This window comes from Homo sapiens, chromosome 15 (genome assembly GCF_000001405.40).
Source record: "Homo sapiens chromosome 15, GRCh38.p14 Primary Assembly".
NCBI classification, from domain to species: Eukaryota; Metazoa; Chordata; class Mammalia; order Primates; family Hominidae; genus Homo; species Homo sapiens.
The window spans coordinates 93318809-93337573 of NC_000015.10; the positions used below are offsets into that span (position 1 = coordinate 93318809).

The 18765-nt window shown below is 45.4% G+C and overlaps 1 long non-coding RNA gene across 1 annotated transcript in view, besides 2 other annotated features; it reads left to right on the plus strand.

Moving 5' to 3' along the window:
* The window catches only part of LOC105370982 (uncharacterized), a 171228-nt gene that overhangs the window by 106346 nt on the left and 46117 nt on the right, over positions 1 to 18765 (plus strand). The gene's annotated exons all lie outside the window — the stretch shown is intronic.
* Positions 12640 to 13241: an enhancer, noted in NCBI's record as "OCT4-NANOG hESC enhancer chr15:93874677-93875278 (GRCh37/hg19 assembly coordinates)". NCBI's record gives its function as "activates a minimal SCP1, AML or CMV promoter by ChIP-STARR-seq in naive and primed H9 embryonic stem cells {active_cell/tissue: H9 hESC(naive and primed)}" and the evidence as "EXISTENCE:reporter gene assay evidence [ECO:0000049][PMID:30033119]".
* Positions 13242 to 13841: an enhancer, noted in NCBI's record as "NANOG hESC enhancer chr15:93875279-93875878 (GRCh37/hg19 assembly coordinates)". NCBI's record gives its function as "activates a minimal SCP1, AML or CMV promoter by ChIP-STARR-seq in naive H9 embryonic stem cells {active_cell/tissue: H9 hESC(naive)}" and the evidence as "EXISTENCE:reporter gene assay evidence [ECO:0000049][PMID:30033119]".

Sequence of the window (18765 nt, forward strand, 5' to 3'; positions counted from 1 at the left end):
TGGGAGGGTGATGTGTATATGTTCTTGCTCCAGTATGGAGCTAATTGGAGACATGGAAACGGTACATCACTAATACATCAAATGTTCTATAGATCTATGAAATTAGCTTTTCCTAAGCAGTATCTGTGAAATCACAGGTTAGCTGGGCTACACATAGCTAATATGCATTAAAATAAATGCATAAGTGCCATAAAAAGTGTTTCCACTTGTACCACCCAAAACCATCTCGTGTGTGACAAACTTAGGGAGGGGAACCATTAAATCTCGAGCCTGGGCAGTGTATGTGCAGACCCTGTTCTGGAATCCTCCATGGGGCAGAGCAGACAGGCCCTTGTTTCACGCACAGCCTGCCTCTTCCAAGGATGGCACGATGACCTTCACGTACTTTGCCCATAAAATGGCACAAGGTGCCTGAGAGAGCCTTCCAGGATGCAAACTTGGGTCGGCAGGGCCTGACCAAATGCTGGAGAGGTACCTGAACAGGACCTCTAACTCCACCCTCTGCCGGCCCCACCCTCTGCTACCCCCGCCCCTAACCCCGCCCCCTTTGCCTCCTGCCCCGATTGCCCAGCCATGGAGTTTGAGATGGAAAGAAGGGAGGATGCCACGCTTTCCGAGATGGCACTGGCGTCAGTGCTTCCACAAGAACTCCTGACAGAAGAGGCGAAGAGGCTGACTGCACAGTCCTTTCAACCAAAATGCAGTGTTTTGTCAGTATCAGCCCTGGGAGGAAACTGCTTGGGCCGAGTTAAAGTTAAGAATCTGACTTAATCCCTAAATCTGGCAACATAAAGGGTGTAGACACCCAGGCCTAGCCGTGACTGGGCCTTTTCCTGGAATGGTCTGTGAGCTTCGGGTAGCAGACAGCCCTGGTCTGGCGCTGGCTCTGTCACTTCGTAGGCATGTACCCTTGGCTACAAATTTTTTAGTTCCAAATTTCCTAATATGCCAAATGGGGCTGAAACACCGTACGCACATGGCTCTCCTTCCAGAACTCCTGCCTTCAGACCCAATATTTATTTAAGAGTAATGAAGAGTGAGAATAAGTCAACTCATTCCACCAACCTGTGACTTTTATCCAACATTCTATTACCAAGTGTAAAAAGTGCGTGTACGACAAAGTCCTCTGACTTTGGAAAGCTTACTAATTGACTGTACTCCCCTTTCAAAACAGTCCATTTATGTAGCACTTTTTTCAGTCTCAAAGTTCTTTCCCTTAAGCGATCTCATAAACCCTAACAAGTTTGTCATAGAAATAATTTTCCTGCTACTTACTTACAAATCTTCCAGCCATGAGATAGCCAATATCCTCCCGCTCTCCCTCCCCCACCCCATTGGCATCTGCTACACACAAACTCTTACCCAGACACCCATTCACCTGACTTACATCGAGCCCATCTTTTTTCTTCTGTGTCTCTAGCTGAACTGCCGTGAGAGACACTGACGGTGTTGAGGTTGAAGGCTACTTGTCAGGGAGATCCTGAGAAAGTTAAAGGGCCAGGTAGGAGAATGAACTAGTGTTCCCCAAGTGTGAATTTCTGACCGGAGAGACAAACATATGCTGTCCATCAGCTTGATGGTATTTGCTCCACTTCCTGCCTCTACCTCACTAGTGGTTGACATCTTCAGCAAACAGTGGGAAGTTCCTTTCCTACAGAATCACGTGGGCTGAGAAACCCTTTGACAATAAGGATGCACTAAGCTACTCCAATTTCGGGAGATAATATATGGAGAAAATAAAATTACTTGCTGCATTTAATTTTGTATCTAACTGAACTAGAACATTTGTAATTAAAAACACTTTAAATGAATCCAGTAAATTATTAAAAGTTATGGCTAGCGAAGCAATATTGTGATCAGTGGTAGCGAGAACAATTTAACCAGGAGAGGGGCTTGTTTGGGAGAGATGTGGGGCTGAAAAAAGTTTATAAGATGCAGAAGTGAGGCCGGGCGCGGTGGCTCATGCCTGTAATCCCAGCACTCTGGGAGGCCGAGGCGGGCGGATCACGAGGTCAGGAGATCGAGACCATCCTGGCTAACACAGTGAAACCCCGTCTCTACTAAAAATACAAAAAATTAGCCGGGTGTGGTGGCGGGTGCCTGTAGGCCCAGCTACTTGGGAGGCTGAGGCAGAAGAATGGCATGAACCCAGGAGGCGGAGCTTGCAGTGAGCAGAGATCGCGCCACTGCATTCCAGCCTGGGCAACAGAGCGAGACTCCGTCTCAAAAAAAAAAAAAAAAAAAAAAAAAGTTGCGGAAGTTCCCTTGGCACACTTGGCTAAGGAAACCTGGCACCGAGGATATGAAACTGGGGGACTTGAGGCTCCCTGAATAAGAGATGGAGCTTGCAGAGGACGCACTAGGTGCCTGGCGTTGGCCTAAGCACTTTCCAGCAGATAATTTGCTTATCCTCAGGGCAACCTTATGAGGTAGGTACTATTATTACCCATTTTATAGATGAGGAAACTGAGCCACGTGGAGGTGGGAATGCCAAGACTGATCCCAGGCAGCCTGGCTCTGCATACGAAACTGCTGTATTCTTTGCCCTGTGGTATCTCATACCTGGAAGGCAGGCAGGGAACAGAGGAGAAAGGTTGAGGCTGAATCGTTACATAAGTGCAAGGGCCCCAGGGTCCTGAGTGGCACCTGAGAAGAGAGGAGCCCAAGCTATTAGGCCGTAAAATACACTGCCTGGTGTCTGCCACATAGTAGATTCTCCATAAGTGTTGAACTGAAATCAAGCATAATTACCTGAGCTATCAGCCCTTTCTCTCTAGTTCATCAACATTTCTCTCAATTCTTTGATTTTGTCAAACTTGGTAAACCACGGAAAATGTGTACTTCTTAAAAAAAAAAAAAAGAAAAGAAAAAGATTGTCCAGTTCATGGAACACTGCAACAAGACATGTGAGAAGAGATCTTACTAGTGTTTAACTCAAAATCCCGAGAGGCTTGCGCAGAGGCTGGAGCCCAGCAACCATTGCTTGTCCTTAGAGCCCATTTAAGGGGCACCCTCCTATCATCACCCATTAGCTTTCTCCCGGTGAAGCATGAATATTTTCACAGTGAAGCTCAGGTCTAACTGTGACACTCTCACTGCCCACAAAATGCACAGGATTCCAGTGAGCAAATAGCCCCGCCCTGAGTCTACCCGGCATCGGCCACAGGCATGCATAGCAGGAACTGGGCGGCTGAGTTCACAGGCAGTCAGAATGGGTGCTGCTGCTAGCAAGGTTAAAATCATCTGTTCTGCCAATGTCCCCCTCTGCTCACCCTCTAGGCTGTGGTCTGGGTCCCTCAGGATAGCCACAACTTGGGAGGCAGCCACTGCTCCCCTTGCTTTGGGCCCTTAGCTGCGTCCTGTTTACCTTCACCTTCCTGATACATTCCTTGGGTGCTTTGCTTGTGTGTGCAGGGGCTTTGATCAACTCGGCCTTCCTGGGCCTCGGGGAGAGAGACGGACTGCCTCCGGGTGCTCATGACCTTTCCAGCAGTAAGCCAATAATGTATGACTCCTGCGTTGCCGTTGCTCGTTTGAGGTAACCACCCCATTTTCATTTCTATCAGAAATGCCTTTTTCAAATGTCAGTATGTTTGAGAGTTAGGCTTAGATTCTAAGCCCAGCAGGCAGAGATGAGTGTTGGAGCTGGGGCCTGGGAACAAGCGGCCCTGAGTGGCACCAACTCTACCAGTCCTTACACCAGCAGGCTTAGAGCAGAACAACCAGGTGGGGACAGCCAATAGGAGTTGGGTAACTTTTCCATGTTGGCCAGTGTGCCCCACAGTCTAGCATTTGCACAGTCCTACCCTAGCTTATATACCTGTTCTGCTTCACCCAGTTCAATGGCTCCCTACAGCCTGTAGGACAAAGGTCAGCTTCCCTCTGGCACCCAAAGACCTCTGGGCCCTGACCTTGTAGAGCTCTGTTTCTGGGGCTGCTCATTTTTCTCTCTCTTGCACCCCATGCAGCAGCTATCATGAGTGATGTACTGTTCCTTGGCAGTAAACTAGACTGTTCCCTGGGCCATGCTACTTCCGCTGCTTGGATGCCCCTTCCTGGTTTCTTCTTCTGGTTCAACTTACTCATCTATCAGTGCTGGGTTTAGCTCTACCTCCATCTGAGAACATGTCTCTGACTGTGAAGGTTGGATTAGCCCAGTCTGCTTCCAACTCTCATGGGATGTATAAAGAATGGGAGGTTCTAAAAAGTAGCATCAAGACATCAGAGAGACCAAGGTTCAAATCTTGGCTCTCACATTATTAATCATGTCATTTTGGGCAAAGCGTTAGCTTCTCTGGGCTTCAGTTTCACCATATGTAAAATGAGGGTATTAACAGTATTTGCCTTAGAAGATTGTTTTGAGGCCTGGGGAAGTCCATGTCTATAAAGGGCTATAGTGGGTTGAATTGTAGCCCTTTAAAGAAATGTCCACTGGGGACTTCAGAATGTAACCGTATTTGGAAGAAAGATTTTTGCAGATGGAATTAAGGATCTCGAGATGAGATTTCCTTGGATTTAGGATGTGCCCTAAATTCAATGACAGGTTCCTTATAGAGAAAGGCAGAGGTAGATTTAAGAAAAAGAGACACAGAAGAAGGTTATGTGAAGATGGAGGCAGAAACTGGAGTGACACAGCCACAATTCAAGAAACGTCTGGAGCCACCAGAAGTGGGAAGAGGCAGGGAAGGATTCTCCTCTAGAGTCTTTGGAGAAAGTGTGGCCTTGCTGATATCTTGGTTTTGGACTTCTAGCTTCCAGAACGGTGTGAGAATGAATTTCTGTTGTTTTAGGCCACGAAGTTTGTGGTGATTTGTTACGGTGGCCCTGGAGAACTGACACAAGGGTGCGTAGCATATTGTGGATACTCCATGAAGGTGACCTGACAGTATTGCTATTGTTTTGATGGCTCTGTGTTAAATTTGTCTTCTTTGAGGTGTGTCTGTCTACCCCATGTCACCTGCCCCCAAAATTTCAGCATGTGTTTTTCTTAACTTGTGTTTTCAATGCTTTGCACAATGTCTGGCACATAGTAGGTACTCAGGAATGATTTTGGGCAAGGACATGCTGATGTGGTACTGTCACCTGGAGGGGACTATACTTCCTCTTTGGCTATCCTGTGATCACACATCCTGAGGGTTCTCTGCTTGGTCATTGACCCTTTGATGACTTGAACGTTCGGGTTCAGTGTTAGTAGTCTGTGGTGCCCAGTGGCAGTGCAGTAACCAGCAGAAGGGTGGGATACCCACTGGTCTCTCAATGGATGGGCACCAGGGGATGCAGCAACAGTGCTGGGCTTATCCTCCAGGGGGAGGGTATTGCCCCATGAAGAGAGGCTGGGACCGGGGAAAAGGTGCCAAATGGTAGCTGAGCAGGCTAGTGGGTGTGCGTGGTTGATGGATGAGCTTCTGGGGACCAGCGTCAGTGAGTGGCTTGCCATGGTCACATAGATACTTTATGGCATCACAGTGCGACTGTACAGCACTGGGGTTCAGTGGGCTCTGGGGACCAAAACCCTGGGCTCACAGCCCAGGCCGACATGCTCCTGCCTGCACTCTAAGCCTGTGGAGATGGTGATAAAACCACCAACATTGAGACTAGGAATTTGAGGTTTAGAGAATTTGAATGATTTGACAGAGGTTGCTTAGGAAGTGGTAGTGCCAAAATTTAAATCCAGTTCTTGTTCATAATGTCTGGGCTTAGCAGGGGAGTAAGTAAGGAGGGGACAGTGGCCTGAAAGATGATGATTGTGTTATTGCTATCTTGTATTTTAATTCTACATAGTTTATAAATCCCACAATACAATATTGCTTTCCTTTAAATGGTCGTTGTCTTTTAAAGAAATTAGACAGTACTGTGTTATATGTATCTACATGTTTACCATTTCCAGCAAATTTTTCATTTCTTCTTATATATTTGAGTTTCCACTTAGTATTCTTTCCCTGTAGACTGAAGAACTGTCATAGTTCAGGCTTGCTGCCAATGAATTTTTTTCAGCTTTCCCTTATCTAAAAAGTCTCTATTCTGCCCTTATTTTTGAAAGATATTTTTTCTGGCTATGTAGTTCTGGGTTGACAGATTTTTCTCCTTCCAGCATTTTAAAGAGTTAATTTATTTTTTTAAAGTATTTATTTTACCATGATATTTTGCAGAGTATTTTGCTATTAAGATTTTTTTTTAAATTTCAGTATTTAAAAAATACTTACTTGGCCGGGTGTGGTGGCTCATGCCTGTAATCCCAGCCCTTTGGGAGGCCAAGGCGGGTGGATCACAAGGTCAGGAGATCGAGACCATCGTGGCTAATACGGTGAAACCCCGTCTCTACTAAGAAATACAAAAAATTAGCCGGGCGTGGTGGCGGGCACCTCTAGTCCCAGCTACTCAGGAGGCTGAGGCAGGAGAATGGCGTGAACCCGGGAGGTGGAGCTTGCACTGAGCCGAGATCACGCCACTGCACTCCATCCTGGGCCACAGCAAGACTCTGTCTAAAAAAAAAATAAAAAAATACTTAATTATCTTTTCACCCTCATTTATTTTTCTGATGTAAACTCAACTGTCTTTCAAAGCATTATTACTCCCAAATCTCCTCCCTTTTATATTAACTGTTAAGATATTATTAATATTAATTTATATAATTAATATTATATTATGAAGATACACTTTGTTAACCAATATTATTATTAGTATATCTTGTTAGACTGGTAGCAGAAGGGAACTTTTACTTTCCTTTTCACACTCACCTTTGATTTTGTTCTATGATCCTGTATAATTTTAATTAAAACTAAACAAACCTTTAAAAGCTGATATGTCACAAACTATGTGGCAGGCCTGTCATTAGGACTATATGTCCATTTGGGATTAGGATTCACCCTTCCCACCCTTGTGCTGGCTCTTGAGTTGCTACCCTAGGATGTTCTCATTGCTTCGTCAGTTGACATCTTGCAGCCCTATCATTTATACACTAAGAGATACGAGGTGAACATGCGACCACAAGGATCACTACCACTGGTCTTCATATTTTTGAATCAGTGACAAAGTATGGTGGCTATAGTGCTTTTTGAGGGTACCAGTAGTATCTTTTGAGGTTAAGAAAACCTTTATCCAGAGGTTGCAAGCTAGAACTTCTAGGGCAATTTTTTTTCTCCATCCACAATATTTTTTGAAATTTTGGATCTGAATGTCTAATTATCTCCAGCTGGCCAATACCCCACAATTCCCAAATTATAACTGTCTTATACCTGGCTGGATACACACATATAGGTTTGCAGAATGGTTCCCGAAGACATTTGAGTTGGTCACGCTGCATCCTTTGATAAAAGCAGACCTGTGGCACTAGGCCACAAAGGGCTACATTCTAGAAAGAAACAAAGATAAAGTGGAGTGGGACACATTTGCCTTCTTTCTTCCCAAAGCACAAGCCAGCACAGGCCCCATCATCTCCAGAATCAAGTCCAAGTTGCCTTTGTTTGATTTTCAGAGTCTCTTGGCCTAGTATCAGTCTGCTTCTTAGCTTTACCTGTCAGTGCTACACTCTCCTCCTATACTCACCCACCCCACCCAACCTTTGTTCTGGTCACACCCAAGCGGTTCAAGGCCCCCTAGCTGGCCCTTCTTCATCTTCGCTGAAATGGCATTCCAGGTTAGCTCTGTTACAGCAGTCATTGTGTACTGGGAAGTGGCAGGATACAAGATGCACAGGTCATGAATAAGGGGTCCCCAGCTATATTTGAGCCCACACATCCATTTTGTTTGGCCCACAGGATGTTTGAAAATATTTGAATTGCCAACCTCTAACACCCTGGAGTTTTCACATAAAATTCTAGATTTTCAGCTTTTCTTAGAAAATGAATGATCTGAAAATTCTAGATTTTCAGCTTTTCTTAGAAAATGAATGATCTGGCAACACTGGGTCCATATTCCTGTGAAGCCACACACAGGGGCATCTGAGTAGCTACCGCTCCTTTATATAGGGCATGAGCTCTTTCCTGTTCTCACATCTGCCACCCAGCCTGCTCTCTCAAGCACATGCTGACGTGGCCCACCCCGCAAGCATGAAGATTTGCACTTTTTGTTTTGGGGAAAGAGGAAAGAAAAGCAAGGAAGGAAATTAGCCAGGTGTGGTGGCACGCGCCTGTAATCCCAGCTACTCGGGAGGCTGAGGCAGGAGAATCGCTTGAACCCGGGAAGCGGAGGTTGCAGTGAGCTGAGATCACGCCACTGCACTCCAGCCTGGGCGACAGGGCACGACTCCATCTCAAAAATAATAATAATAATAATAATAAAGAAAAAAAGAAAAGCAAGGAAGGCATGATTGATTCTGTCTGCGAGGTGTCTGGGACGATGACAAAGGAAAGGACATTTGAGCTGGAGCACTGGAGATGGTACTTGGTAAACATGAAACAGACCAAAAATCCAGCAAGTCTTTGGCATTATTTGGGATGTTCTTGTGGTGAATATGAAGGCTGAGGCTTCCATGCTAGAAACCCGACTGTAGCCCTCATCTTTCTCATTCTCACATGCATATCAAATATCAGGTCTCACTGAATAATTGCTAAGAATCTGTCTAGTCCATCCCTTGTTCTCTCTCCTGTAGCACCATCCTAGTTCAGGACCACATTAGTTCCACCTGGAGGACTTGTGCTCATTCCTTAGGGCCTTGCTAATCTAAGTGTGGCTGCAAGACTAGGGACATCAGCACCTAGGGCCTCCCTTAGACAGGTAAGACCTCAGACCTCACCCTAGACCTACTGACTAGGAATCTGCATATTAACAAGATCTCCAGCTGATTCCTATGCACATTCAATTTTGAGAAGCATTCCTCTCAGGCAGTGGTTCTTGACCTCGTCTGTGCATTACAATCACCTGGGGAGCATTAAAAAATGCTTTAGTTTCTGGCAGCACCCAAACCAATTAAATCCAATCTCTAGGGGTGGGACCCAGCCATCGGAGTTTATTAGAACTCTCCAGGTGATTCCAATTTGCAGAAAATCAGTGCTTTAGGACACAGGTTCTCAAAACTGGCTGCCCGTTAGACTCACCTGGAGATCTTTTGCAACTTCCTAAAACCAAGCTGCATCCCAGGCCGATTACATCAACGTCTGGGGGCCAGTCAGACACAGGTATCTACACTGGTGAAATTTCCCAGGTGATTGTAGAATGCAGCCAGAATTGAGATCCAGTGTTTTGGGACTCCGCTCAGGAATCTTTCATTTCTGGAGACCCCCTCACAATATGTCCCCTACTCCAGCGATGCCCAGCCTCCATGGTGCCCTATGCATATTGCACCATCTCTCTAATTATCTAGTACGTACCTGCCCTCACCCACCCCATTTGGTTGGGAGCTCCTGGAAAATAGGGACTACGTTTTACGTTTCTTTTTCTTATGCCTTGCACAATGCCTGATATTTACAATACACTCATCAAGAGGTTATTAATTTCTTATTGCTTTTATTATTATTCCAATCCTGAGAGCTGTGTAAGGCAAATAAATCTCGAGACCTCAAAATCACTAAGTCAGGGGAAAAGTCAAACTGGGAACTATGTCAGACAGACCTGCCTCCCATTTTATTCCTAAATAAGATAGGTACAGAGTTAAGAAGCGACATACCTCCTTCACAATTTTCCACAAGGAAATTCCTTGTGGACAAAGGACAGACAGAACTCAAAGTCATCCCTGCTGAGGCTCACCAGAGACAAACGCATATTTGATTGCTTCCTCTGCCTTATTTTTTATGTAATAATGCAGATTCACTGACCCAGTCTAAATGGTGTATTCAGTGGAAGGCTGATCAAGGACTCAAAAGAATGCAACCTTTCGTCTCTTATCTACTTCTAACCTGAAAGACCCCACTTCAAGTTGTACTGTCCTGCCTTATCGGACAGAGCCAATGTTCATCTTGCACATATTGATGTCTCATGTCTCTCTAAACTGTAAAAAAGCAAGCATGGCCAGGTGCAGTGGCTCACACCTGTAATCCCAGCGCTTTGGGAGGCTGATGTGGGCAGATCACGAGGTCAGGAGTTTGAGACCAGCCTGGCCAACGTGATGAAACCCCCGTCTCTACCAAAAATACAAAAATTCGCTGGGCATGGTGGCACGCACCTGTAGTCCCAGCCCCTTGGGAGGCTGAGGCAGGGGAATCGCTTAAACCCAGGAGGTGGAGGTTGCAGTGAGCCGAGATCATGCCACTGCACTCCAGCCTGGGCAACAGAGCAAGACTTCATCTCAAAAAAAAAAAAAAAAAAAAAAAGGCAAGCTGGCGGGGTGCAGTGGCTCACGCCTGTAATCCCAGCACTTTGGGAGGCCGAGGCGGGCGGATCACGAGGTCAGGAGATCAAGACCATCCTGGCTAACATGGTGAAACCTCGTCTCTACTAAAAATACAAAAAATTAGCCAGGCGTGGTGCCAGGAGCCTGTAGTCCCAGCTACTCAGGAGGCTGAGGCAGGAGAATCACTTGAACCCGGGAGGCGGAGCTTGCAGTGAGCCGAGATCACTCCATGGCACTCCAGCCTGGGAGACAGCGAGACTCCATCTCAAAAAAAACAACAACAAAAAAAACAAAAGGCAAGCTGTACCTCGACCACCTTGGGCACATGTCATCAGGACCTCCTGAGGCTGTGTCACAAGTGTGTCCTTAACCCTGGCAAAAAAACTTTCTTAATTGATGGAGACCTGTCTCTAATATTTTGAGTTAACAGAGTCTATGGTGAGAGTTGTAGTAAGGAAAGCTCACCCTGGTGCAGGGGACGCTGGATGATGGCAAAGTCTGGAGGCAGCAGAGCAGCTAGGAGGCTGTTCCAATGGTCCAGGTAGAAGGTGATGAACAACTGAACGAGTGTGGTGGCAAATGGGGAAATAGGGCAGAGGCCCAATGGCAAGGGCATCATGAGGTAGAATCAGTAGCTATATTAGTTGGCTGGGCTGCTATAATTTATCATGTCACAGTTCTGGAGGCTAGAAGTCCATGATCAAGATGTGGCAGGGTTGGTTCCTTCTGAGAGCCGTGCGGATGAATCTGTTCCATGCCTCTCTTCTAACTTCTGGCGGCTTGCTGGCAATCTTTGGTGTTCCTTGGCTTGTGGCACATCACTCTGCCTTCATCTTTCTATGGTGTTCTGTGTGTGTGTGTGTGTGTGTGTGTGTGTGTGTGTGTGAAAATTTCCTCTTTTTATAAGGACACTGGTCAAATTGGATTAGGGCCTCGTCGCTCCAGCATGACTCTCATCTTGTTACCAGCAGAAGTTATCCAAGTCACCAGCGGTGAATCCGTAAGGGTCTGCGGCAACCTTGATCCTTGCCTCTTCAGAAGAAAGAATTCGATTGAAGGGCGTGAGGCAGAAGAAGAGATGGAGGCAAGTTTTAGAGCAGGAGTGAAAGTGTATTAAAAAGCTTCAGAGCAGGAATGAAAAGGAAGTCAAGTGCACTTGGAAGAGGGCCAAGTGGACATTTTGGAGGTCAAGTGCGGCATGTGGCCTTTGACTTAGGGTTTTACACATCGGCATACTTCTCCGTCCTGTGTCCCTTTTCTTTGATCCTTCCCTTAGGGTGACCGGCCCACATGAGCCATGGCCTGCTAGCGCTTGAGAGGTGAGCATGCGCAGTGTGTTGACTGGAGTCGCAAGCATCCTCTCCTGAGGCCTTCTTCCCTTTTCTGCTGAAATGCCCCCGGAAGGTCATCCTCTGCCATTTTGCCTCATAATGCACATGCTGGAGCCCAAGCCCAATTCCTGAGATCTTATTAAGAAGCTGTCGGCCGGGCATGGTGGCTCATGCCTGTAATCCCAGCACTTTGGGAGGCCGAGGCGGGCGGATCAAGAGGTCAGGAGTTCAAGACCAGCCTGATCAACATGATGAAACCCCGTCTCTACGAAAAATACAAAAATTAGCTGGGTGTGGTGGTGTGCCCCTGTAAATCCCAGCTACTCAGGAGGCTGAGGCAGGAGAATCACTTGAACCCAGGAGGCGGAGGTAGTGGTGAGCCAAGATCATGCCGAGCCAAGATCGCGCCACTGCACTACAGCCTGGGCGACAGAGCGAGACTCCATCTCGGGAAAAAAAAAAAAAAAAAAAAAGAAGAAGAATCTGTTGATCACCAATTTCAGGTGTTTTCTATCTACAGGGAAATTGCCTTTCCCTGGTGCTGGCTGTCACAGTGTGACAACTGCCTGACCATCACCTGGTGGCCACCTGACTTTCCTGTTGGGGTGTGGGTTCGGGGAGCCCTCTTCTGTCCCGCTCATGCCTAACTAGCTACCTTCTGTAACAACCTTAACTAATTCATTTGCCGCAACCTTATTTCCAAATAAGGTCACATTCTGAAGTACTGGGGCTCAGGATTTCAACATATGAAGGGGAGTGGGCACAATTCAACCCGTAACAGCAGGTATAGAGTTTTTTGTGTGTGAGCTGTGTCATGTGCAAGCACTTGAACTTCAGGAATTTTCGCTTTTCCATTTTAGAGATAAGCCACATTTTTTGCTGTGAGATCAACACACTCCTTTCTAAGTTTTTGTCAAAATCATAACTTATGAAAAGCAACTCTGGGGATGTTGACAAAACTGGAAAAACAGATGTCTTGAGCCAACTGGGATCAATATGAGCCGAGCAGAAGCTTGAGAAACTCAGGTGAACAAAAACATAAATAATTGGTCTTGGTTGTTCATTCACCAGTTATCAATTTCACTACTTTGAGCTGATGATTTTGGCAGACTTAATGCCCTGAGATTTCACAAGTAAATGTTCATAGAAACTATTTACAATAACTGTATACCTGCTCACAACAGACTACAGGATTTAGAGTCCCTTTCTTTTCCCTCCTCTCTCCCTCCCTCTCTCTACTTCCTTTTTAGGCATAACTGTTAGTACAGGGCTTTACTTGTTAATTGTTCTTTTGTGATTCTGTTTGTGGCAATTAAATGCAGTGGAGGTTTGGTAATTAGCTGCTGTAATTAGAAACACCTTCGGGTTAGGAAGGTGTTTCCTTTTCATCACTTTAGGAGCTCTAGCACTCCCTTCAAAACGCCTGCACTTGGCTGTGGGGGAGGGGGGAGTGAGCAGCTGCACATCATTCACGCTGGAGGCGGCTTTCTGCTAACAACAACACCTTGCACCCTGCCTTCAGAATTCTCCCTTGCAGCTGCAAGCAGAACTGAAAAGTGTGCAGGGCTGCTCTTGCAGTTAATAATTCCCAGATCTCCTGCAGGCCCCTCGGCGCACACGTCTAGGCTGGAATCTGGACAGCGTTATCCTGGACAATTCAATCCCTGCCAGAAAGGTATCGCCTCCCCAAAGATTGTCTGTCTGCCTTTCTTCCTATTTTGGGCTAAAGGGACTTTCAGGAATTACATATGTACATATTTCATGTTCCACAATGGGAACGCTTGTATCTCACGTCAAAACAAAAGTTAAAGAAAAATGAAAAACCTCATGAATTGTCCTTTTAAAAATTCTCTGTTTCCTGAAAAACAAACAAAACACCAAAACAAAAAACTCAGACGAAATAAAACCCTGGTGAAAACCTCCAACTGGGAGTACTTGCTGCCTGATCTCCTGGCTGAGGGAAAGGGAAGTAGTGTTTCTAATCCATTATTACCAGACGCTGAGCTTCTGGGAAGAAAGAAATGCATCTTAAATTGTTATTTTCCTCTTCTTCTTTTCCCAGTCTTGACTCCTTTTTCTTTTGCATTGTTTGGCAGCTTCAGATTTCATACCAAGGGAGCTTGCTCAAGGGACTAAGAGGAGTTTGAGGGTGCTCTTTCTGGGTTTAGATCTGTAGGTACCTGCTGGCCTCTGACACCCTTAAAACCAGTGAGAGAAAAGAGATGGGGGCCCAGTACCCGGGCCCTGCTGGGAGCTCTCCTCAGACCGGTGTGCACCCAGAAGTCCAGATTCACTGGGTGGGGGTGGGAAGGGGCTTCTCAAGTTCCCCCAGAAGTACCCTGAACACCCCAAACAAGTAAATGCCTCACCCTCACGTCACCTCTCCTCCCCTCCCCCCGAGATCTGAGGAGGGGGACAGTCTTTTAAGTGGTTCCGCTCAGGTATGATATTTAGAATCTTTTTTAACTTTTAGAATCTTTTTTAACTTTTAGAAAGTCATGGGCCGGGCGCGGTGGCTCACGCCTGTAATCTCAGCACTTTAGGAGGCTGAGGTGGGTGGATCACGAGGTCAGGAGATCGAGACCATCCTGGCTAACACGGTGAAACCCCGTCTCTACTAAAAATACAAAAAATTAGCCGGGCGTGGTGGCGGGCGCCTGTAGTCCCAGCTACTCTAGAGGCTGAGGCAGGAGAATGGCGTGAACCCGGGACGCGGAGCTTGCAGTGAGCCGAGATGGCGCCCCTGCACTCCAGCCTGGGAGACAGAGACTCTTGTCTCAAAAAAAAAAAAAAAAAGAAATTCTTGTGAGTTTGGTATTCTACTCCATAATATACCAACTTTGGTGCTAGGGGAAAGATGATATTTTCTCCACCAGATCTGTGATTAAAATGGATGCTCCCGTGCGGGTGGTGCATGTCTATTACAACCCGGTGGGGGATGCTCTCGTGCGGGTGGTGCATGCCTATTACAACCTGGTGGGGGATGCTCTCGTGCGGGCGGTGCATGTCTATTACAACCTGGTGGGGGATGCTCTCGTGCGGGCGGTGCATGTCTATTACAACCTGGTGGGGGATGCTCTCGTGCGGGCGGTGCATGTCTATTACAACCTGGTGGGGGATGCTCTCGTGCGTGCGGGTGGTGCATGTCTATTACAACCTGGTGGGGGAACAGGTAGGTGCATGACTATTACAGCCTGGTGGGGGAACAGGTAGGTGCATGACTATTACAGCCTGGTGGGGGAACAGGTAGGTGTGGGGCTGATAACCTGCTGCTGACAAAGGTCAGTGGGAGGAAGGAAACAAATGCCTCCAAATTCTCATCAGATCGGAGCTGCCTCAAGGGCTTGTCAGCCCTTGGAGTGACAGCTGCCTCCCTTGCTCCTGTTGCTGACATCCGGTTTCCAGAGGACAGGGCTTGGTAGGCTCTTGCCTGCCCCACACCCTCAGGGTGCTGTCGACCCCCTTTTCCAGATGTGAAGCTGTGCTTCTCCAACTTACAACCTGGCTTCACAGCCAGGACACAGCCTGCCTGTCTGGGGCTTTGCATTTGTCTTTCTTCCTTCACTCTTTGAATTTGGGAACAGGGATCTTGAACTCAAAGAATTCCCTGACCACGCCACTAAACACGGAGGCCAGATGCAGCGTGCTCCTGATGTTAGCTTGTCAGGAAACCTAAATGTGCTGTGATGATCTAAGTCCCCTAGCGGCAAATGGAGGATGATCACAAATTTGGGAAGAGTAGCTTGCTCATGGTGCACAGTCCCTAAATCTCTTGCAATCCAGAGAGCTTGAATGAAAATACAATTAGCATCGACAGCCCCTCTTCTTCCCTCTCAGGTTTCCTTCCATGCAGTGATGTGATGCATGGGAGGGGAGTTTACCACGAACTCATGGACACCTGGTTAACTTACCTTGATCACAACAAAACCAGGGGGAGAAAGGCACTGTGCCAGGAACTCCTCAGCAAGCAAGCTCAATGCAATCTCATTGTCTCCACAGTCAGACCTTTCTCCTAGGAAGATGCCTTGGGTTCGCCCAAGCTGTATCCCGAACTCGGTTCCTCTTTCTTGCTTCCTTTAAAATTGCTTTTTCCTGGAGACATATTCTTGCTGAGTTATGTTCTTCAAATTCTTTTCCGTCAGCTCACTTCATTTCTACCCAAAATATCACGTACAAGATATTTCCAAACACACATGTCTATCTCCAGTGCCACATAGAAGATATTTTTCTCAAACATCATATTTAACCTAAAACTTCCTTCTTATTTTAATGTAATGCATTTTCACCCTTAATCGCTACTATGCACTGACTGGTGTGGTGCAGAACTCTGGGATAAGGGCTGAAACACCAAGGGCATTGTTTTGTCATTCCACAAAGTTCAATCCAGCCTCTGTCACTGCTGATCAGTGAAACGGAGGTTCTCAGAACCTCAGTCACCACAGCAGAAACCTGGGGATGAAACTCCCTTCACAGAGATGTTGGAAGGATTAGGTGAAGATGTCTGCTATTTTTAGCATGATGTGTTATATGCAAAGTCCTAAGCAATTTAAGTTTTTCTATTTTCTTTGAAGGAGCAAGCTTGCTAAATGGATAAAGCTCCCAAGAATATTTTGGTTTGGGATAGAAACACATTGAAACCAAAAGTTTAGGGACCCAGCACATTTTGCACAAGATATGGATATGGATTTTCTCCTTATTTGCTAAAAAAAAAAAAACTCTCTGTGATCACTGTTGTTGGATCTTAGTCTTTATAAAGTATACGAAGGACCTTCTGTTGAGTATTGAAAAACATACGTGATCTATCTGCAGGCTGGAAAAGTTTCTTCGAAAATGGAAATGTCTTTGGGAGTAGCAGCAGAAGGTTTCCTTCCTCTTATCTCTCTGTTGGAAAATTTTTTTCTTTTAAAAAACGTTTGTTTTTTTATTTCCATAGGTTTTTGGGGAACAGGTGGTGTTTGGTTACATGAGTAAGTTCTTTAGTGGTGATTTGTGAGATTTTGGTGCACCCATCACCTGAGCAGTATGCACTGCACCCTATTAGTAGTCTTTTATCCCTCATCTACTTCCCACACTTTCCCCCATGAGTTCCCAAAGTCGACTGTGTCATTCTTATGCCTTTGCATCCTCATAGCTTAGCTCCCACTTATGAGTGAGAACATATGATGCACCTAGCACTTAAGCCCTCATGACTGAATTTTATGATCTGGAAATTTTATTGTCAGTTGGCAGCACTGACCATTTGGCCTAGGCTCAATAAAAGATAATCTAGCCTCTCTCTTACTGCAGCTACAACAAAGATGCAAAAGAGAAAGAGGAAGGATTGTTTAACAAACGACAGAAATTTACAAAAAAGAAGGGTGAAGTATGGGTGGGGTGACCAGTTTTCCCAAATTGATGAGGGCTGTCCTGGATTTTACCTTTTTGATGGATTATTTTGGGGTAATAATTTAGATTTCTTATCAGAAGATTACGAGGCCTAGAACAAAAGTGATTTGTAAATTTGTTGGTGGGTTGACAGTGGGGGAAGAATTGGAAAAATAAATAGTGATTATCATCTTAGAATTCTTAAAAAAACAAAAAAGAAAAACATATATGATCTAGATGTTAAAGCAAACACAGCCCTTGAATTCAATATCAAGGATTGATATATAACATTTGCATTGTCCCCCTCAAGGGTCTGATAGACCAACCCTTTGCCCAACTTTAACCACTATTTCCATAGGTCTAGAATCCTCTCTTTCATCCAGTCTCAATTCCCCTCTAGAGATCTTACTGGATGTACACCCAAATTAGAAAATTGTTGGGAGGATGAAATGAGAGAATGCTTAGCTGGCATATAGGAGTTATCAACACATGTAGCTCTGATTACTTCTGTAACTTGCTATAGGAAGGTGAAGAAAGCAGACGTTGAGTATATTAAACATATATTAGGCTCTGATTGATTTTGATTTGCTTAGATCAGTGGCTCTCAACTGGGGATGATTCTTTCCTAAGAGACACTTGGCAATGTCTGGAGATGTTTTGATCCTCATGACTAGGGCTGGCAGGGAGAGTGTTCTGGGTGGGCTACTGGCATCTAGTGTGTAAAGGTTGTTGCTAAACATCCTGCAGTGCGCAGGACGCCCCCACAACAGAGAATTCTCCAGTCCCAGGGTGCAGAGGTGGGGAAACCCTGCCTTAGATGGATCTTGACTTTGTTAGGCTCTGTGTATGAGGGGAAGATTTGCTTTCTTCAGTAAATTAGAATAGTGACTAAAAGTTCTAGGTTTTGATCTCTATCTCTCAAAGAAAATAATATAGGATTTAATAAAAGCTACTTTGATCTTAGCATCTTGGCATTTTAAAAATTACAATGGTGAGGCTGGGCGCGGCGGCTCACGCCTGTAATCCCAGCACGTTGGGAGGCTGAGGCGGGTGGATCACGAGGTCAGGAAATCGAGACCATCCTGGCTAACATGGTGAAACCCCGTCTCTACTAAAAACACAAAAAATTAGCCAGGTGTGGTGGCGGGCGCCTGTAGTCCCAGCTACTCCGGGGGCTGAGGCAGGAGAATGGCGTGAACCCGGGAGGCGGAGCTTGCAGTGAGCCAAGATGGCGCCACTGCACTCCAGCCTGGGCGACAGAGCGAGACTCTGTCTCAAAAAAAATGAAATAAAATAAAAAAATAAATAAAAATAAAAATAAAAAAATTAAAATGGTGATAGTCAAGTTTTAATTCTTTAATGAAAACAAGTTATTGCTAAAAAGTCTGATGTGTTTGCTGGTGAACCTAAAACTGCTCTAAAAATGTTATTTTTTTTTTAAAAAAACTAATGTGAATGGAAAAGTGATTATGACCAACAGAGGTTTGTGATTTATCTGTGACTCTTTTCTAAGTGAAAAGTTATAGTCAAATAAGCTCCAGGAATAAAACTCATTTCAAATAAGATTATTTAAATATTTCACGTTTTCTAATCACTAGATTAAACAATAAAAAGATCAGATCTTTCATATCTAATAATTTTTCGTCATATTATTTGATACTTCTAATCACAGATATATTAAATGTTTCTAGTTTCTGTGGACATAATTTTGGTGAATTCCTTTTCTTTTGTATTTAAAAATTCTTAAAATTGTACATATTTTTGGGGCACATTTGGTGTTTTGATCCATGTATACAATGTGTA